The following is a 22,768-nucleotide window of genomic DNA, read 5'->3' as shown; positions in this document are numbered from 1 at the left end:
TATAGGAATTCTGTCTTAATTAATTTGTGGCATTTTCTGGGCATTGAGCTCTGTGTCTCTGGGTATGCAGAGAAGTTCAGCCATAGAAGAAAGTAAAGATTTTGTTATTTGACTGTTTTGTGTATATTGAACTCGAATAACTTTGTAGCTTGAAGAATTGGGTAAATTAGGCCCGGAATACAGTTTCTCTTGAGTAAAATAAAGCACTGAGGAAAGATCTGGGATTGTTTGCTGTCTACTGTGCTCGGAGGATTCAGAAAAAGTTCAGATTGAATCAGGATTAGGAGTAGGTAGAACTAGAAAAAAGCATATAATGCAGCTCACTAACCAAGAACAAAATGATTTGAGAGGAAAGTGGGCATTTTCCCTGATGCCCCTCTCTGCATATTCTTAAATCCTGGGATTCTTAGTGATCAGCCTATCCTTAGCCACTTTCTCTCCTCACAGCAAATGTGTTCTATGGAATAATGTCAAGATCTCTTATGCTTTACCATTTCCCTGTTTCTACTCTATTGATTTCAAAATGCTATTTATAGTTTGTCTATTTTTAGAGCAAACATCACCAATGCAGAGAAGACATTCACTTGATGGTAATCATGTGTAGATGCCCTTAGAAGGGGTGTTGGTACATCTAAGTAAAAATGGCAGTTCACAGTTGATCTCAAGAAACAACTGCTGTCACTGGAGCATCTTCTTAGGATAATTTTTTTTCATTTCTCCTGTCTATCTAATGAGAAAAAAAACATAAGAAAACATAATTTATAAAAGCAGCTGGTATTTTTTTCTCGTAAGTTATTTGCTAGAGGTAGTTTGGTAGATTGTGTTGAATAATTATACAGTGGTGAATGTAAGTTCCTTGAAGGTCAATTGCCTGACATTGGCTAAAGATTCCTACATTCTAAACAAGAAGGGTCATTAGATGAAATAACATTAAGCTATTTTGTTCCTTAGATTTTATGATTTATGGGTAAGCAAAAAAAAATTCCATGTCAGTGAAAATAATATTTTTTGAATTTGAGTAATTTTTCAACATAGTGATTCAGCATAGTTAAAATTTAGTGAGTGAATTTTCACTGCCATCCATGAAAGATAAACTCCTACTGAAATTGTCTTTGGGCCATAAACAACTAGATAATCAGGCAAAATAAATGAAACACAACTTTTCTGATGTTTGACAACAGACAATATCAAACTGATTTCTGAAAGGAGGGAAAGAAAAAAAACATGAGCCCTCTGATTGTTTGGCTTTCTTGACTATAGGTATTTTTCATGCCGCAATCTAGAGTGGTCAAAAGAAAGAGATCAGTGATGTCTAAGTTGAAAAATCAGAAGTCAGTATTTGGAAAGATGTATGTGGCTAGATGATGCAGGGCAGAATACCCAAGAATGGGGGAGCTATACATAGAAAATCAGAGATCTGCAGAGGAACGTCTATTTCTTGATCTGCATATGTGTGGGATAAAACTTGATCTGCATATGTGTGGGATAAAATTTCAGAGTGAAGGACTACATGAAACGAGTGGTCAAAAAACTTCAGAAACTTATAAAAAGCTTGAAATAGTCTGATTTCCTTCAAGCCACTGTGTAGACATCTCATAATACATACAGCATTAGGTAGAGACTTTAAAAGAGTGAAACAGCTTTGAATCTTCCTAACAAAGCTTTAAAACAAGACTTGGGATAGTCAAACTTATACGTAAATAACTTAACTATGTGCCAGAAAAATATCTGATCATCTTCAAAAGAATACAACAAAATCTTCCATTTGATAATGTAAAAATCACAATTTCTGGCATCCAATAAAATGTAACCAGTAAAGGAAGCAGGAAAATATAAGCATAACCAGAAGAAAGAGCAATCAATAGAAATAGACCCAGAAATGACAGCAATGATGAAATTAATAGGTAGAGACCTTAAAAATGTTATTACATTTATTAAAAACATGCTCAAGAATGAAAAGGAGAACATTAACTCAATGCAGGGAAAAATGAAAAGTATAATGAAGACCTAAGCTGAAGTACTAGAGATGAAAATACAATATCTGGGCTGGGTGCAGTGGCTGATGCCTGTAATCCCAGCACTTTGGGAGGCCAAGGCAGGTGGATCACCTGAGGTTGGGAGTTCGAGGCCAGCCTGACCAACATGGAGAAACCCCATCTCTATTAAAAATACAAAATTAGCCGAGCATGATGGCTCATGCCTGTAATCCCAGCTACTTGGGAGGCTGAGGCAGGAGAATCACTTGAACCTGGGAGGCGGAGGCTGCAGTGAGCTGAGATCACGCCATCATACTCCAGCCTGGGCAACAAGAGCAAAACTGCATCTCAAGAAAAAAAAAAAAAAGAAAATACAATATTTGAAATAAAGTATACACTGAATAAGGTTAATAGAAGATTAGACACTGAAGGAAAGAAAGATCCACAAACTTGAAAGTATAACAATAGAAATAATCCAAAATAAGGAACATTTTGGATAGTAAAAGGACTAAAAAAGTATAGAAACTCATTAACTTTGGAACCATACTAAATAATATAACATAGTTTAATTGGACAATCCACAGAATGGGAAAAAATATTTGCAAACTACCCATCTGACAAGGGATTAATAATCAGAATATGTAAGGAGATAAAACAACTCTATAAGAAAAATCTAATAATCTGATCAAAAATGGGCAAAAGATTTGAATAGACATTTCTCAAAAGAAGACATACAACTGGCATACAGGTATATGAAAAGGTGCTCAAAATCATTAATCATCACAGAAAGGCAAATCAAAATTACAATCAGATATCATCTCACCACAGTTAAAATGGCTTATATGCAAATTACAGGCAATAACGAATTCTGGTGAGGATGTGGAAAAAAGGGAACCCTTGCACAATGTTGGTGGGAATGAAAATTAGTACAATCACTATGGAGATTCCTCAAAAAATTAGAAATAAAGCTATCACATGATCCATCAATCAATGAAAAGAGAGGAAATCAGTATCTCGAAAAGGTATCTGCAATCCCATGCTTGTTGCAGCACTGTTCACAGTAGTGAAGATTTGAAAGCAATCTAATTGTCCATAAACAGATGAATGAATAAAGAAAATGTGGTATGTATACACAATGGAGTACTATTTAGCCATAAAAAAGAATGAGATCCTGTCACTTGCAACAACATGGATGGAACTGGAGGTCATTATGTTAAATGAAATAAGCCAAGCACAGAAAGACAAACATCAATCACATGGTCTCACTTATTTGTGGGATCTAAAAATCAAAACAGTTGAATTCATGGACATAGAGAGTAGAAGGATGGTTACCAGAGTCTGGGAAGGTAGTTAGGGGGAAAAGGAGGAGATGGAGATGGCTAATGGATACAAAAAAAAAAAAAAAAATAGGAAGGATGAATAAGACCTACTATTTGATAGCACAACAGGGCGAATATAGTCAGTAATAATTTAGCTGTACTTTTAAAAATAACTCAAAGAATGCAGTTGTTTTGTTTGTAACTCAAAAGATAAATGCTTGAGGGAATAGATGCCCCATTCTTTATGATATGCTTATTTCACATTGTATGTCTATATGAAGCCATCTCATATACCCCATAAATATATACACCTACTATGTACCTACAAAAATTGAAAATAAAAATAAATTTATAAAAGGAAAACAAACAAAAATAATACAAGTTCTAAAGGAATACATAGAAGGAAAAAAAAGCTTTTACAACCTTGGGCTAGGCAAATAATTTTAGACAGAACAAAAAACATCACTAACCACAATATAAATGGGACTTCATAAAAATTTAAAACTCTATTCCTTGCAAATACTACTAAGAAAATGAAAAACAGGCCACTAACTGAGATTAAGTATTTTCAAAATATATTTGACAAAGGACTTATATCTAGATGCAATAATAAGAAAACATAATAGCCAAGTAAGAAATATATAAATAGCCAAATTGGTCTATAAGAACATGAAAATAGGATTAATATCACTAATAGTGAGAGAAATGTAAATAAAATTGTGACACCATTTCATACCCAATAGAATGGCTAAATTAAAAATACTGACAATACCAAGTATTGGTGAGCACCTGAAACTCTCAGTTATTGCTTGTAGGAGTATAAAATGGCACAACCACTTTGGAAAACATTTTGGCAGATTTTTACATAATTAAAAGTACACATTCTAGCTCACCTAGCAATTCCACTGCTAAGATATTTATCCAAGTGACATGGAAGCATATGTCCACCAAATGACTTACATATGGATATTTGAGAAGCTTTTATTTACATTAGTCCCAAATTGGAAACGATCCAAATTTCTCTCAATGTGCAAAGCCGTAAACAAATTGTGGTCTATTAATATGAATGATTATTATTCAACAATAAAAGGGATGAACTATTGATACACCCAATAACATGAATGAATCAAAAATGTTTATGCTGAGTGAAAGGAACTTGACAAAAAAGTGTATATGCTGAATGATAACATTTTTACAAAATTTGATAACAGGCAAAAACAATGCATCGTGACTGAAATCAGGCAATAGTTGGCTCAGACCAAGCTTGAAGGTCATTTATTATACCAGGGAACTTTTTATGGCAATGAAAATGACATATATCTTGATTGAGTGGTGGTTGCATGAATATATACATTTGTCAAAAATTACTGAATTGTATACATCAATTGAGTTTATTTTACTTCAGTTATACCTCAATAAAGTATTTATTTTATTTTTATTAATTACTTTTAAACCTTATGGTTGATGTATAATAATTGTATATATTTATGGCATACAGCATGATGTTTCAATGCATGTATACATTTTATAATGATCAAATCAGGCTAATTACCATATTAATAGCTTTAAACATTTATCATTTCTTTGTGGTGATAACATCCCAAATCTTTTCTTCTAGCTATCTTGAAATATACATTACATTGTTATTTGCTACAGTCACCTTACATTTTTAGCTTCCACATTTGAGTGAGAATATGCAGTATTTTGTCTTTCTGTGCCTGGCTTATTTCACTTAACATAATGTCTTCCAGCTTCATCCATGTTGCTGCAAAAGATAAGATTTTATTCTGTTTTATGGCTGAATAGTATTCCATTGTGTATATATACCATATTTTCTTTATCCATTCTTTATTAGATGGGCATTTAGTTTGATTCCATATCTTGACTATTGTGAATAGTGCTACAATAAACATGGAAGTGCAGACATGTCTTTAATATACTGATTTCATTTCCTTTGGATATTTGCTCAGTAATGGGATTGCTAGATCATATGGTAGTTCTATTTTAACATTTTTGAGGAATCTCCAAACTGTTTTCCATAATGGCTGTATAACAAAGTAGATTTAAATATTCCTATAATGTGTATAAATGGGTAAGGTCAAGAAATATAAAAATAAATTCCTAAAGCCTAACATATAATCGAAGAAGTATGAATTAAAACAATGTGATGGCATTTTTAGCATGTATTGGATGCATTAGGAAATTGTTAGAAAAGACATGGAGAAAAAGACATGCTCAGACATTGCTAGTAGGAGTGTTATTGCAAAAGTCTTTCTTGAGAACATTTCCGCAATATTCTTAAACAGCATATTTTTAGACTTAGCAATTTGACTTCTAGGAATTCATCCTCAGAAAATAAATGGTTAGGTTTCCAAAAATGCATATTCATCTCTGCTGTGTTTATCATAGTGAAAACTGGACATAATAAAATGTCAAACAAAGAATTGACATACGAAATGATAGTACTCCCATGGAAGGGATATCATAAAGCTATTAAAAATAATGTTTATTTATTGACATAAGAAGATGCCGATGATATACAGTTTAAAAATATTTCAAGATCATATGTACAATATAATCTAACATCAAACATAATGCACCTAAATCTTAACAGTGGTTATTTATGGGTGGTGGAAATATGAATAATTTTTATTTCCTGCTCTATTGTAAAGTACTATGTATAAAATACTATGTATTTTATAATTTTTCTAATGCATATGTAGAGTACTTGTAAAAAATAAGTTGTTAAAAGGGATAACAAAGTTTTGCAAATTGCTCATTGTTGAATTGGTTTTTGGTAAATTGTCCTGTTGGTAAATTAAATTTCAGTGAACTAATTTTCAGGGAACTGGCCTGATTCTTTTAAAAGTTAGAATCAAATTGACTTTATTATTGATGTAGGTGATTCAGCAGCTGGGAAAATGGTGTTGGTTATTAAGATGGGAAATATAGGGGAAGGAGAAGTTTTTTGAGGAAAGATTGTGATACCGATTTTTTAATGTGTTGAATTTTAGGTGTCGAGTGTTCAGCTGTGGACAGACATACAGATCTGGAAGTCATCAGCAGAGGGTAATATGAGACAGGAGAGTAGACAATATTTTGGAGTGCATAAGTAGAAAGCCGAGAGAAGAAGACTGAGGCTAGAACCCTGAGGAATATCCAACGTTTGCCCTTGAAGGAGACTGAGAAGTAGCCAGAAGTTGGAGGAAGATCGGAAGGATGATGTGTCTTCAAAGAAGGAAAATGAGTGTTTCAAGGAGTTAGCTGTCCCCTGTGTCAAGTAAAAAGAGACTGAAAAATGTTCATCAAATTTAACAACTGCTGGTTTGATCTATTCAAGAATGTTGTGGCATATATAAGGCAGGTGTTTTGTTTTTTGTTTTTTTGTTTTTTTTCCTGTGAGCACACCTTTATTTATTTTCAAGTTAGAGTCCTCAGAATAACCTTGGTGGAAACTCATAATTGTCAAAACGTGAGATCACAGCTCAAAAAATCAATTTAAAACTTCAAATTTGAATTGATTTTTTGCCTAGTAAGGGAGGGGTCTTGTCCAGCAAAGCAAACCATTGACCCTACAGGGATTTTTGAAGAAGTTTGTTGTGTTAGTGAGAGAAGTGGGAGTGGAATTATCTCAGCCTTATTTTGGATGTTGTAGTTTTCATACCTAGATGTTCCATTGGCTCTTTCTCGTGTCTTCTCTCTGTTCACGTTTTCCTTTAACTTCCTGGGAATAGTTATAACAGTCTTACATTTTTTTTTTTTTTTTGAGACAGTCTAGCTCTGTTGCCAGGCTGGAGTGCAGTGGCACGATCTTGGCTCACCGCAACCTCTGTCTCCTGGGCCCAAGCGATTCCCCTCCCTCAGCCTCCCGAGTAGCTGGGACCACAAGTGCGCACCACCACACCTGGCTAATTTTTTGGATTTTAGCAGAGATGGGGTTTCACCATGTTGGCCAGGATGGTCTCGATCTCCTGACCTTGTGACCCGCCCGCCTTGGCCTCCCAAAGTGCTGGGGTTACAGGCTGGAGTGCAGTGGTGCAATCTGGGCCCACTGAAACCTCTGCCTCATGGGCTCAAGCGATCCTTCTACCTCAGCCTCCTGAGTAGCTGGGACTATATAGGGGCGTGCCACCATGTCCAGCTAATTTTTGTAGTTTTTGTAGAGACAGAGTCTCACCACGTTGCCCAGGCTGGTTGTAACCTCCTGAGCTCAAGTGATCGCCTGCGTTGGCCTCCCAAAGTGCTGGGATTACAGGCATGAGACACTGTGTCCAGCCCAACAGTTGTTTTAAAGCCCTCTTTCACGAATATCATTTCTATCATTTTAAAAATTTCTTTTTATAAACCAATTTTTCTTTTGGGTTATGGGCCACATTTTCCTGCTTCTTGGTTGGTCTAGTAATTCTTTCTTGAATAAAATAAAATAGAGACAAGGTCTCACTATGTTGCCCAGGCTGGTCTCAAACTCTTGGGCTCAAGCAATCTATAAGGCAGGTTTTAATTTTCCTTTTATAGAGGAGGAATTTCTAGGCAAGGACATCTTAGTGACTTCTCCAAGACTGCATGACCAGAGTCAGATCTTTAGACTCCTAATCCTAGCATCTGTCTAGGATGCTACATTGCCTCTTGATTTCTGTTAATCACCAGAATAAAGTTCCCGAGAGAAAGCTTTGCAAAATATTGGAATGCATCACTGGGAGAGTGTGTGGCTTTTCTTTTCAGAAGTCTTTAGAAATTGTAGACAGTCTCTTCAATCCTGCAATTAGGACTAGAGAGGAGTCTATCCAACAAGAAAACGTTGTTACCTTGCTGTCTTTATAAAACCGCTTAGTTTCTTTGCACATAAAAGACATTCAATTTAATTTTATTATTAGTCAATTAAGATGTCTCTGTTATGCTTAGAATAATTTCCCTGCTTCTACTCATCAAACCACGTACTTCACTTCCAGTAAATTGCTTGAAGGTTTTTTATAGGTTTGTCCTGATTAACCCCACCATATTGTACTTTCTAGCACAGTCTTGATTTCTTTTGTACTCTTTACACTCCTTGTAAATGATAGATTTTACAGTATCTTTGCATAAATTAGCACTTTTCCAGAATTTAAGTCCCCTAGGAAAGAGAATTCAGTTTTGAGAAGTTTTAAGTTTCTTGGCAGCTCTCTAGCTAAAGCCTTCGGAGCAATTTCTGCCATTTAGCTACTTTCTTTTGCCAGCACCTACAAGAAAGGGGGAGATGTCTTCTACAAACACTTTGACCTTGACAGACAGAAATCTTCTGGCATCATTGTCATTTCAGTGTCAATGAATGTCAGTATCAATGTTAACACAGTGAAGCCTTCTAACTTAGTTTCAGTAAATTTAATTATGTGTAGCTCATATTACTTTTTTCATGAGAATAAAATGTGGCAAATTATTTCAGGTAGTTAAGAAAATCCCCAGAATTATGTTTTTGTAATATGGATTTTTATTGCATTATATTTACATGCAAGTTTATTACATTCATCATTTTTTGAAGATTATCTATAAAGTATTCGTCATCTGATAAATAATGATTATGTTAGTGTACCCCCGAAGCTATAGGATTTAAAATTTTCCTTGAAGAAGTATTTAATCTAGTTGGGCCTTATGGAATATAGTCTTGAAATAATCAATGAATAGTATAAAATTTTATTAGACTAAGCACAGTAAGAATGGTACGGAAAAATGAGTGAATAGAAAGGCGAGAGAATGACTTAGTTTAAGCTTATTTTTCAGTTTTTCTTCCCATGAAACTCTTGGTAACATATATTCCTCACTCTTGAAATTCTCTCCACCTTTGGCTTCTGTGACGTTTTATAAATTCCACTAATATTGACTAAATGAATATTCATTGGGGCACAATGTAATTCTCACAAACATCTGCAAATTTGATATTGTTATCCCTATTTTTTTTTAGATAGGGTCGCTGAGTCTTAACTGGGTTAAGTAACTTATTCAAGTTCACCTGGGAAATGAGCAACACAGTTGGGGTTTAATTCCAGATATTTTTCTTCTCAAATGCTTGCTCTCAGTTGCTACATTTGCTTTTTTATTTTTTGACATTTCCTTTTGTCAATGTCCTTCTTTCATTACCTATTTGTTGGCGTTTTTGAAAGAGTCAATCCTTGTCCCGATTATTCTGTCTTTAAACACTCTTCCTTGTGGCTATTTCCCCATTTTTCCATGACCACTTCTGCTCAGATGATTCCTCTATTTGTATCTGATCCCTTTACCCAAGTTCTGATTTCCAGTTTTCTACTTATTTCTGATCCTTGTCATTTGGAGGTCCTGTTAATATTTCACATTTTTGTCTAAAACTCAGCTCTTTACCCTTCTCCCTCCTTATTTCTCCATTCTTGTCATTCTGCTCCTGTTTTCCTGGGCTTGAAAATGCAATCAAACTTGATGTATGTCTCCTCGTCTCTGTTTTTCTCTCTCCAAGCACAGAGATGCCAAACATTGTTTTGCATTTCATCGTAATATCATAACATGTGGCACTGTTCATCCTCTCTGTTTCTACTCTTGTGTAGTCTCTGAGTTGATTTCCCTGCCTTCAGTCTCTTCCTGTTCTAGCCCATTCTGCAATTACTTTTATCCAAGGGGATAGTAATTGTTACTACTCTAATAGATGATAAGTAAATTTTATTTATTTAATGAAAATTAAATAAAAGTAATACACTTAAAAGAATTATTTACGAAATAATAATAAATAATAATAGATTTTTTTGTGTCTTTGTGCCAGAAGGTGCATTATTTATTCATTAAAACAATCCTTTGAATTACCAGTATTTTTCCCATTTTAACATTACAACACCAGAAACTCATAGAAGGGTTAAACAAAGTTCCCAAGATCACACAGTCTGTAAGTGTCAGAGATTTGAGCTGAGTTCTGCCAGATTCCAAAGTTCATGCTCTGAATGCTTATTCAACTGGGACATATTTCAGAATGAAAGGGGAGATACTAGTAATTTTTCTGAGATAATAGGCATAAACTGGGATGGTTCTAGAAAAGCCAGGATTTAGATTAACTTTATAAGTTCTACATTCTACTTTCTCATCATTGATTACAGCCAAATAAATAAAGGGAATGGTTGAGAGGACATTTACTTTTGGGGTAAAGAGCCATATACTCATCTTTGTACTCAAGTTCAGGGATGATTGGAGAACAGCCTCTTAGAAATATCCAAAATAAATGTGGGACACACAGGAAAGGAGCTTAACAGGAAACTGAGAACTAAAGACACAAATTTGGCAGCCATCCATATAGAGGGTTTGTTGAAGCCATGAAACAAAGTAACTCACTGAGAATTTAAGGAAGCAGAAAAAGCGTGGAAATAAGGCACAGAAGTGAATCCTGGTAAATGTGAAATATGAAGGGACAGAAGTAGAAAGATGAGCCAATATGGGACGTGTTTCTATTAGACTATGCATTTCTTTCTGGCACAAACAATGCCTTTTGTATCCCTGACCTCACATATTACTATACATGCTAAATACACTTATTAAATCAATTTAACATTAAGGACATTGCAGACCCATATGACTGGTGATAGATGAATTTAATTCTATCTTCTTTCTCAGGAGTTAATTAAGGCTATTTGAATGCTATTGAAATGACTATTTCAAGTGCCGTCTCTCCTCTCTGGCCAGGTTTGTGCTTCTTCTTATTGTGGTTGGGAAACTAGTAAGTTTAGTGATTGACCCCGTGCCATACTGTCACCACTTGATGATCTACCTGAAGTCTGAGAGCTAACACACATGCATGAGACATATATGTAAAGATATTTTATTGTATGTAAATGTTCACATGCTCTGTAATGTAACATGTATAATATATCGTTTAAGTATGAAATAGATACAAGAAGAAAAAATTTTTTCAGATAGGTTTTTTTTTTGCTTGCTGCTTGTACTGAAGTGAGTCATCAGGTAACACAGCTTTAGAGAAGCCTTGTCTAAGATGCATTTGGAAATGTAGTTGCCATGGCAACTGTCTCTGAAGTAACAGACAAAATTCCCCATAGAGCTTCCAGAGAACCTCCAATGTCTTCTTTGCACTTGGATCTGAAGGAAAGCCTGCTTAATGGACTCATGTACATTTTGTTTAATAAATTATTTTTCTCCCTTTGTAACTTTTGTGCAGTGGGACTGAGACAGGGATTGGGATCCATTAGGGTCACTCCGGGGTGTGGACAATTCTAAGTGTATAACGACAGATGAGGCAACCTCATTGCTGAGACTGAGCTGAGAGTGAGCATGGCTTGACTGACATATGTGCACATCCTCATAAACACACAGGCTTGTGTGCGGTGGTTTCACTTGGACTTGCCTGAAGATGGACTTCTGCTTTTGTGTTAAGATTTTATAACTTCTCCAAGAATATTTCTGCCATCGAAGCAGGATCAAAAACATATCTAACCTGTTGGCATACTGAAGCTCTAATTTCCCCAAATAGAGATTTATTTCTTGGCTATGAAATGTATCATCCTTAATACACAAAAGGCCCTGGTTAGGGGTGTGAAAGGCTAGTTGCCACAGGAAACTGTATTAGTCCCTGTATTAATGAGATCCCCTCCTGAAAATGGTTTTGACAATGTTTAGAGGAGCCAACTCTGGTGTCTGGAGACAAAATTGGGTGTTGTCAGTTACACACATTAAGTGTCTTGTGATTGCTTAAGAAGCTCAGCAGGGTCCCTCGCCCCTGTGACATTTGGAGCTGGACAGACCAGAGTTTGACTCAAGATTCTAGAATCTATTAGCTGCGTGTGCTTCTCACTTTTAAAGTGGAGATTAACATGTCTGATTTATGAAGGTACTGTGAGAAATAAATGAGGTAAAATTGGACATTGTTGTTGGATCCTTGGTGTCTGTATGAAGGTGCTGGGTCAGATACAGTGTTTGGTACACAGTAAGTTGTCAATATAAGGTAGCAAGAAAAATTGTGCTTAAAACGATGCGACCCGAATGAAATATTAGGTCATTAAAAGCCCCGTGGAGCATTATCAAGTGTGAAAACAAACATTTCCTTTTCCTTAGAGAACTTGGTCTCTGGCAATGGTCCTGAGGGAGCCTCCGTAACTACTCTGAGGTCTCTATTCCAGAATAAAACTCTCCAGATGCTTGTTATCCGCAGTGTCAGGAAAGACTGCGGTCTCATCTCTGGAAGCTGGGCAGAAGCCTCGGGGCAAAGCCATGATCAGAGATAGTGTTCTTCATCTCAGCAAAAGAATCAAGATAAATTGGAGGTTTTAATCCTCAAAGTGGAGAAGCAGAAGCAGAGGGTGTCTGGGCTCTAAGTTGCCACTTTCTTTACAGCAAGGCCATTTGGATTTCTGCAAAAGAGATGGGCGAGGGGCAGTAGACAGCAGCACTGTGGCTCCAAGCTGTAGAGGGTGAGTGCCTGTCTGAGCCACTGGTGCCACAGCAGAGTGGTTAAAAGCTCAGACTAGGGGAGGCAGACCACGGAGTTTCCCTGCTGCTGCAACTCAGTTGCACTAGAGCTTTGTGCAAGTGGCTTAGGCTTTGTATCCTCATGTGTCGAATGGTGATGGTTGTAATGCCAGACAGCATTCAGACACATTTGATAAATGTTTCTCTTCCTTTTTCTTAGCTTTTAATGAATAACGTTACATAATTACTCCATCCCTATTATCCTATACTAATTCCACAGTCATGCCAGTAAAGACTGTGGACGATACAACGTCATCTTACTGCTCCGTTTAGTACAGACCCCAAAGTAGAAGGTCTGGAAAGGTCAAGTGGTTCCCACCTCTCCAGAGAAGGGCCGCCGGTTTTACCGACTTGATCAAGGGCTGTAGAGGGAATGAAGTACACAGCGGGGAGGGCCACGGCGAGGGTTGGAGGGTTGTTCCAGCTCAATTCTGCCGACTCTCTCCTTAGTCTCGGCAGCCTTCACTCTGCAAATGTCACCCTCAGACAGTTACCAGGATGGCTAAAGGGCACTTGGGGAAGGTGAAAACAGAGACAAGGGAATAAGGAAATATCTTCTAGAAGTTCAATAATCTCTCTGCTCCGATGTCATTCTTAAGCAGGGGAGGATTCTTTCTCGTTCTCTCACTGAGTCTTTTTCCTTCACAGCTTTGCCTAGAGGAGAATGGCTGCCGAGAACTCCTCCTCCGTGACAGAGTTTATCCTCGCAGGCTTAATCCACCAGCCGGGACTCCAGGTCCCCGTCTTCTTCCTGTTTCTAGGTTTCTACGCGGTCACGGTGGTGGGGAACCTGGGCTTGATAATCCTGATAGGGCTCAACTCTCGCCTGCATATCCCCATGTACTTTTTCCCCTTCAACTTGTCCCTCGTAGATTTTAGTTTCTCTACGACCATCATTCCCAAAATGCTGATGAGTTTTGTCTCAAGGAAGAACATTATTTCCTTCACAGGGTGTATGAGTCAGTTCTTCTTCTTCTGTTTCTTTGTCTTTTCTGAGTCCTTCATCCTGTCGGCGATGGTGTAGGACCGCTACGTGGGCATCTGTAACCCACTGTTGTACACGATCACCATGTCTCCCCAGGTGTGTTTGCTCCTTTTACTGGGTGTCTACGGGATGGGGGTTTTTGGGGCTGTGGCTCATACAGGAAATATAGTGTTTCTCACCTTTTGTGCAGACAACCTTGTCAATCACTACATGTGTGACATCCTTCCCCTTCTTGAGCTCTCCTGCAACGGCTCTTACATAAATGTCCTGGTCATCTTTATTGTTGTGACCGTTGGCATTGGGGTGCCCATTGTTGCCGTTTTTATCTCTTATGGTTTTATTCTTTCCAGCATTCTCCGCGTTAGTTCTGCTGAGGGCAGGTCTAAAGCCTTCAGTAGCTGCAGCTCCTACATAATTGCAGTTTCTCTTTTCTTTGGGTCAGGAGCTTTTACGTACCTCAAACCCCCTTCCATTTTACCCCTGGACCAGGGGAAAGTGTCCTCCCTGTTCTATACCACTGTGGTGCCCATGTTTAACCCATTAATCTACAGCCTGAGGAATAAGGATGTCAAACTTGCCCTGAAGAGAACCTTTTCCAGAATAAGCTTTTCTTGAAAAAAATTTTAGAAACAGAAAAGAGATACTAGGATTTTTTTAAAATCAGATTGCTTTTGCGATGATTTTTTTTTCAGTGAGGAATCTAAGCTTCCAGTGCTTTCCATCCTATATATAGAGAAAATTTTAACTCTCTTTTCTGAGTGGATTTATTCTTCCCCACCCTCACCTCCATCTCTTCCTTGATTTATAAAGAAGTTTCTACACCTATAGAATATTCAATGTTGAATGAGGCTTAGGAATAATTTTATCTTTCCCCTTTATGTAATACACCACAAATTGCAGACTCAGAAGTATTTGTGTATTTGCCCAGGAACATAAAATTACCTAGTGGCAGACCTGGGACTGGAATCCCAGCTCGAATCCCAATCCACAGTGTTTTCCTTTATGCTATTCTTTATTGTCTCATTTCTTTTTGGAAGATTTCATTTCACATGCTAGTTGACCTAACAAATTTAAGTTCTAAATATATTCACAGTAATTTCATGCTATTTTTCACAGGATAATTTTAATGTATCACTTTTTGCAAGAACGTAGGAGGTGAAACGTTTTGTTGAGGTGGTCTTGGCAAAATGACAAGATCAGTGTTTGATGAATTTTATAATGTGTAAGTGGGAAGTATGTTAGGTTTCATATAGAAGTAAGCGTGGGGCCCACTGACTTGGTGAGTGGAGCCCTAGGGTTTAGAACTAGTTTAGTGGTTTAGAACTTCCAAGGGAGAGATATAAAATTTTAAGGGATGTAAAGATGTTGGGTGGAGGTGTCATGTTATTTTAAGACCAACAGAGACAGCATCTGGAGTTTCATTTCAAGGGTTAACTTGGGTGTTAGAGGTCTTATGGAGAAGTATGTAGTTCAAGATGATTGGGAGCTGTACTATCCAATATGGTAGTGACTAGCCATGCATGTCTATTGAACACTTGAAAAGTGATCATCCATATTGATACATACTCTAAGTGTGCAATGTAAGTATAAAATGCACATTAGATCTTTGAAGAATTATTATAAAAAATATAAAACATCCCATTGATTTTTTTTTTTTTTTTGGTATTTTAGTAGAGACAGGGTTTCACCATGTCGCCCAGGCTGGTCTGAAACTCCTGAGCTCAGGCAATCCACCCGCCTCGGCCTCCCAAAGTGCTAGGATTACAGGCTTAAGCCACTGTGCCTGGCCCCCACTGATTAATTTTTATATTAATTATATGTTGAAATAACATTTTGGATATATTATGTTAAATAAAATATATCATTAAAATAATTTCTGTTCAGTTTTTTATGTACTAGAAAATTTAAAATTACATACATGATTTGCATTATTTTCTAATGGATGTTACTGGTCAAGAGGAAGTAACAGAGCAGAAAATAGTTTGGGGAACATATCAGGGCAGAACCAAGCAGTTCCTTATTTATTTATTTATTTATATTGAGTCAGAGTCTTGCTCTGTCACCTAGGCTGGAGTGCAATGGCGCAATCTTTGGCTCACTGCAGCCTCTGCCTCCTGGGTTCAAGCAATTTTCCTGCCTCAGCCTCCCAAGTATCTGGGATTAAAGGTGCCCATCACCACGCTCGGCTAATTTTTATATTTTTAGTAGAGACGGAGTTTCACCATATTGGCCAGGCTGGTCTCTTGGCTAGGCTGGTCTCAAACTCCTGACCTCGTGATCCACCCGCCTTGGCCTCCCAAAGTGCTGGGATTACAGATGTGAGCCACTGTGCCCGGCCGCAGTTGCTTATTAGAAGAGGCAATTGATAATTAAATTTTCAGGCCTTGCAGAAAGCCGTGATATTTTAATAATGGGACATGTGGTGAAGCAATGGTGCTCTCCAGATAAGCTAATACATCCCCAATATTATGTAAAGGGGAATATAGCTGTATATAAAGAATCTAAACCCACCAGGAGTGGTAAACTTTCTTTGAGAAGCAGTGATAAGTGAAATGCTTAGGAACTTTTCTGTAGGGAAGTCCCCTTCTACTGGTAAATAAGGGAAGTTTGGAGAAATGTTTAGTTTGCACTACAGTGATTCTGTTCAATGTTAGTGAAATGAAAAGAATAGGCGTACAGTGGCGGGATTGTGGTTTAGATGGGATTGAATAGACCACTGAATCCAAGGGACCTATAATTTGGGAGTGGGGTGGGTGTGGTGGGTATGCAGTCCAATATCAGTAATAAAATAAAATAGATACTACCTTTATAAAATGTTGTAGACTAACTTACAGTAAAGTGTACAGATTTTAAGTATATAGCTCATTGAACTTTTTCATATGTATGTGCCTGTGTAACCACAAGCTGGATTAAAATGTAAAATGCTTTCAACCACCTTAGAAGGTCTTCTCTTGTTCATTCCCAGTGAACACTACCCTCTCTCAACGCCCACTCCCACAGCTAGCCACTGTTCATATCAACATGTACTGTACTGTTTCTGGTTTCTTTTCCCCAACATAAAGGCTGTGATACTCATCTGTATTGTTGCATGTATGCAGAGATTAACGTTATTATTTTGTCTCTATGTAGTATCCCATTATGTGTATACAATTATTTATCCTGTTAATGAACAGTTAGTTTCCAGTTTTTGCTTATTATTAATAAAGCTTCTATGAACATTTGTGAACATGTATTTTGGTTGAACTATGGAAACATTTCTTTTGGGTATATAATGAGATGTGGACTTGCTCAATAATAGGGTAGACATAATATTTAGTTTTTATAAATACTGCCAAATGGTTTTCAAAAAATTTGAGTCAAAAAAGGATTCAAGTCCTTTTTCAAGTTTTATTTTATTTTATTTTTATTTCAAACTTTTATTTTAGGCAGAGAGGGCTAATGTACAGGTTTGTTACATGGGTAAATCGTATGTCACTGGGATTTGGTGTGCAGATTATTTTGTCATGCAGGTAATAAGCCTAATACTCATTTATCAAATTTTAAATTTTCAGACAGTTCATGGCTTATCTTTTAATTCTATTAACAGAAGTTCTTAATTTTAGTGAAGTCCAATTTATCACTTTTTAAATTCATGAATTGTAGATTTGTTGTTATATCCAAAACTTTTTGTTTAAGAAATGTTACAAAGATTTTCTCCTACATCTTATTGCAGAAGTTTTGTATTTTTTTTTTTACATTTGTATCTGTAACCCATTTTGAGTTTATCTTTGTACATATTGTGAGGCATGGATTATTAATTATTATCTATAATTTTTTTTGCACATAGCTTTCCTATGGTTGTTCATCTAAGTTAAAATTCAGCTGATCCTATTTGTGTGTGTCTGTTTCTGTTCTCTCTTCTGTCCCTTTCATTTATCTATCTTGAGAGCAATATCACACAGCTTTGATTACTGTAGCTTTAGGATAATTCTTGAAATCAGTTAGTGTAAGTCCTCCATCATCATTCACCGTTTAAAGAGTTATTTTGGCTATATTAGGTCCTTTGATTTTCCATATTAGTTTTCAGAATAAACTTATAAATTCCAACAAAAATAACCTTCTGAAAGTTTAGTGGAATTGTCTTGAATCTGTGGATCATTTTGGGGAGAACAGGCATTTGTATTTTCTGTAGCAGTGAATGACAGTGTCTACTTTCCTATAGTCTCTCCAACCCAGCATCTTCTCAGAATTTTCAAATTTTCCAACCTGATAGGTGAGAAACAGTTTTTGTGTTGTTTAATTTTGCATTTCTCTTATTATGAGAAAGACTGGGGATGTTTTCATGTTTTTAATAGCTATTGGTATTCCTATATGGTCTATTTGTTTTGTACCTTTTCCTCACTTAACTATTGGGATTTTGATCTTTTCAAGTTTTAAGAGAACAGTATATTAGGAATAATAGCTTTTTGTCTGAGGTGTAAGTTGCATGTATTTTTTTTCCAATTTGTGATTTGGTTTTTGACTTTTCTCATGATACAATTTTTTTACCTTAAATGTATTAATCTTTTATTGTTTCAGGTATTTTAATCAAAGTTAAGAGTTTTGTCGCTTCTTAGGTGATGAAGAAAATTCATTTTTTAATAATATTTTTATGGCTTCATTCTTTTACATTGGGATGTCTCATCTATTTAGAAATTATACCAGTGTATCATGTGAGGAATAGATCCAACTTTGTCTTTTTTCTTATGGTTACCCAGTTATTTTATTGTCATTTATTAAATAGTCCCTCTTTTTTCTACTTTTGAGCTCCTGCCTTTATCTCATACTGAATTTCAAAGGCAGCTGGGCTATTTCTGTGTTTTTCCATTCTGTTCCATTGGTCTATGTATCTGTCTACCCATAAGCCAATATCACACTACTTTAACTGTAGAAGCTTCATTATGTTTTCATATCTTGAGGGTAACCTCCCACATATTGTTCCTCTTTTTTAGGGTTTTGCTGACTATTCATGTTTAACCATAATCTTTATAATTAATCTGTCTAGCTCCAGAAAAAAACCTGATGGCATATTTGCTGCACAGATGCATTTAAGATTGCATCTTAAATTTAGAAGTAAATTTAAGGAGAATCAAAATCTTTGGATCTTGAGGCTTCCAATCATAAACTGTGATATGCCTTTCCATGTCTTGGGGGTCTACTTTAGTATCTTTTAAGAGTGTTTCATAATTCCTTATCTATGTTTTGCATATTTCTTATTATAATTGTGCTTGGGAATTTTGTTTTATTTTGTCTTATCTTTCATTAGATATTATTATTACTTATACATATGCATTCGATGTATTACTCTGTTAATTATCTACTTTGTAATGTAACTGTTATTATTTGTAGAGATTTTTCTATAGATTCTCTCAGGCTTTCCAAATACATAATAAATTTTATCTGTATAGAGATAGCTGTAATTTTTTCCTCCTGACACTTATGCCTCTTATTTCTTTCCCATTTACACCTGCATTTTCTAATAACTTTAATACAGTGTTAAATAATTGCTTACAGTGAAGGCTGTAAGCATCCTGGTTTTGATGCTAGTGTTTCCAAAGTAAGTTGCTGGCTTTGGGCTGAAATTTATATATTTTGCCATCTTAAAGAGGTATCCATCATTCCTTGATTTAATGAATATTTTAAAAACATGAATGGAAACAAGAGGAGGGCAAGACGGCTGACTAGACGCAGCCAGGTGGAGCACCTTTTACTGAGGGACTGAAATGACTGGCGTGCTCCTAACAGATCTTCAGAGGGAAGGCACTGAGGGTGGATGGAGGGAAGACACAGAAGCTGGGGTGAAGGGGAAGAAAGCTGGGAATGTGCATGGAGCTGCCATGCACGAGGACTCATTCCTGGCCCCCAACAGCTCTAGGGGAATGAGTGAGTTGAACTGGCAAGGAACAACCTGCTCTCACCACGGGGCTCTGGAACCCCAGTAGGAGGAGACCCTTCGGCCACCACGGACATTCTAGTTGGCAAGGAGGGCTGCTTAAAGAAGTGGTTTGGGCAGCAAGCCTGATTATGAGCCCAGAGGGTTTGGTGTGGAAGTATCCGTAGCAGAGCATGGGCAGGGACAGCCATTCCCCTAGGCTCAACTTACTCCCATAGGAGACTTTAGCCCAAGAAGGACAGTCAGACCTCAACTCTGCAGGGCAGTCTTGCCCATCAGACAGGGCTGGTTTGACCTGAGCAACCCTTGGGCTGCTGGCCTCTCCTGGGTCCTCAGCCTGGCTGTGCCTGCCTGCAAGGCAGTCTCAGGTGCCATGGGGGCTGCATCATAGCTTCTGCACTGGCAGATTGTGCCTGACTGGTAGAGAGCTCCCAAAGGGCAGCCTCTATGGCCACACACCAGCCCACATGCTCCCTCTCTCCTCATATGGTAGCTTCCTTCAGGCCCATGGCAACCCCCAACCTTGCTTTGCTGGTGAGTGCCTGCGTGGGCAGGTTTTGCTTTCCTTGCCTTGCCGGTGTGCAGGAATGCAGTCTGCCCTGCCGTCCCCTGACTGCCATTGCAGACAGAGCCTTGGAAGCAAAGACCCAGCCAGCTCTATTCCCGCCAGTGCCCCACCATTGTGCTAACAGTGGATCCTCCCTTGCCCTAAGTGATCACTCCTGCTTGTGGGGCACAGAGGAAGCACCCAGACTTGTGCCTACAAGTGCCCCACCCCTGAACCAACACCACTTCCAGTGTGACAGTGCACACAGTTGCCAGCAAGGCCCGCCCCCCACGTCCCCCAGCTATGTTGCCTCTGCCACTGTGGTAAACACCTGCAGGGAGGCAGGCATCCCGGCACCCACTAGCACCCTGCTGCACCTGCCGTTACCTCTGCTGCTGGCATGTGTGAACAAGGACAGATCACACTGTCACTGCACTATGAAATGCTTTGGCTGACACCACCCATCAGAGTGTAGTGACCAGCAGTCCAGTAACACCTCATCCCCCACCAGTGCAGTGGATTACTAACCATAAGGAGCCAGAAAACAAAGTTGGGGCACAATACAAGTCCCCCAGAGTTAGAGCACACAGTCCAGGAGTTGGGAGCTGCATGTTGGCCCCCTAAAATCTTTCAGATACAAAACCAGTCAGCTGAATCCACCTTATACCACAATCAAACCCTCAAGGTCATCAAATACGATAAAAGGAAAAAAAAATCCATCCAAAGTCAGCAACATCAAAGACTGAAGGTAGATAAGCCCACAAAGATGAAAATGAATCAGTGCAAGAACCCTGACAACTCAAAAAGCCAGAATGCCTTCTTTCCTCCAAGCAACCACATCACCTATCCGGCAAGCGGTCTGAACTGGGCTGAGATGCTTGAAATGACAGAAATAGAATTCAGAATATGGATAGGAATGAAGGTCATTGTGCTACAGGAGTACATTGAAACCCAATCCAAGGAAGCTAAAAATCATGACAAAACAATGCAGGAGCTGACAGACAAAATAACCAGTATAGAAAAGCACATAACTGACCTGATAGAGCTGAAAAACACACTACAAGAATTTCATAATGCAATCAATCATAAGTATTAATAGCAGAATAGACCAAGTGGAGGAAAAAATCTCAGAGCTTGAAGCCCAGCTTTCTGAAATAAGATGGTTAGACAAGAACAGAGCAAAAAGAATGAAAAAAAATGACTAAAACTCTGAGAAATATGAGATTATGTAAAGAGATCAAATCTATGATTCCTTGGGGACTCCGAAAGAGATGCAGAGAATGGAACCAACCTGGAAAACATATTTCAGGATATCATTCATGAGATCTTCCCCAATCTAGCTCTCTCCCCAATCTGTCTCTAGAGAGGGCAACATTCAAATTCAGGAAATGCAGAGAATCCCAGTGAGATACTTCACAAGAAGACCATCCCCAAGACACATAATCATCAGATTCTGTAAGGTCAAATGAAAGAAAAAAAGTTAAAGGCAGCTAGAGAGAAAAGTCACATCACCTACAAAGGGAAGCCCATTAGGCTATCAGTGGACCTCTCATCAGAAACCCTAACAAGCCAGAAGATATTGGGGGCCAATATTCAACATTCTTAAAGAAAAGAAATTCCAATCCAGAATTTCATATCTGACCAAATTAAGCTTCATAAGTGAAGGAGAAATAAGATCTTTTTCAGACAAGCAGATACTGAGGAAATTTGTAACCACCAGATCTACCTTAACAAGAGCTCCTGAAGGAGGCACTAAATATGGAAAGGAAAGACCACTACTGGCCACTACAAAAACATATTGAAGCACACAGACCAGTGACACTATAAAGCAACTACATAAACAACTTTGCAAACTAATCGGCTAACATCATAATGACAGGATTAAATCCATACATATCAATACTACCTTAAATGTAAATGGGCTAAATGCCCCAATTAAAAGACACACAGTGGCAAGCTGGATAAAGAACCAAGACCCATTGGCATGCTGTCTACAAGAGACCCATCTCACATGCATTGAAGCTGAAAATGAAGAGATGGAGAAAAATCTACCAAGCAAATGGAAAACAGAAGAAAGCAGGGGTTACAATCCTAGTTTCAGACAAAACAGACTTTAAAAAGGCAGATGGATTCACAGCTGAATTGTATCAGATGTACAAAGGAGAGCTGGTACTATTCCTGCTAAAACTATTCCAAAAAATTGAAGAGGGTCTTCTACCTAACTGATTCTATGAAGCCAGTATCATCCTGATAGCAAAACCTAGCAGAGACACAACAAAACAAGAAAACTTCGGGCCAATATCCTTGATGAGCATCAATGCAAAAAAATATCAAAAAATTACTGGCAAATACGGCAGCATTTCAGAAAGCTTATCCACCATTATCAAGTAGGCTCTATCCTTGAGATGCAAGGTTGGTTCAACATATGCAAATTAATAACACAAACAGAATTCATCACACAAACAGAACTGAAGACAAAAACCACACGATGATCTCAATAGATGCAGAAAAGGCTTTGTATAAAATTCAACACCGCTTCATGTTAAAAACTCTCGATACATTAGG

The 22,768-nt window shown here is 37.6% G+C and overlaps 1 pseudogene, besides 2 other annotated features; it reads left to right on the top strand.

Moving 5' to 3' along the window:
* Positions 13,425-14,357, top strand: OR8B10P (olfactory receptor family 8 subfamily B member 10 pseudogene; annotated as a pseudogene).
* Positions 19,458-20,091: an enhancer, noted in NCBI's record as "H3K27ac-H3K4me1 hESC enhancer chr11:124380472-124381105 (GRCh37/hg19 assembly coordinates)". NCBI's record gives its function as "activates a minimal SCP1, AML or CMV promoter by ChIP-STARR-seq in primed H9 embryonic stem cells {active_cell/tissue: H9 hESC(primed)}" and the evidence as "EXISTENCE:reporter gene assay evidence [ECO:0000049][PMID:30033119]".
* Positions 20,092-20,726: an enhancer, noted in NCBI's record as "H3K27ac-H3K4me1 hESC enhancer chr11:124379837-124380471 (GRCh37/hg19 assembly coordinates)". NCBI's record gives its function as "activates a minimal SCP1, AML or CMV promoter by ChIP-STARR-seq in primed H9 embryonic stem cells {active_cell/tissue: H9 hESC(primed)}" and the evidence as "EXISTENCE:reporter gene assay evidence [ECO:0000049][PMID:30033119]".

The sequence above is a fragment of the Homo sapiens genome, chromosome 11, assembly GCF_000001405.40.
Source record: "Homo sapiens chromosome 11, GRCh38.p14 Primary Assembly".
NCBI lineage: Eukaryota > Metazoa > Chordata > Mammalia > Primates > Hominidae > Homo > Homo sapiens.
This window is presented reverse-complemented; position numbering and strand designations above follow the sequence as displayed.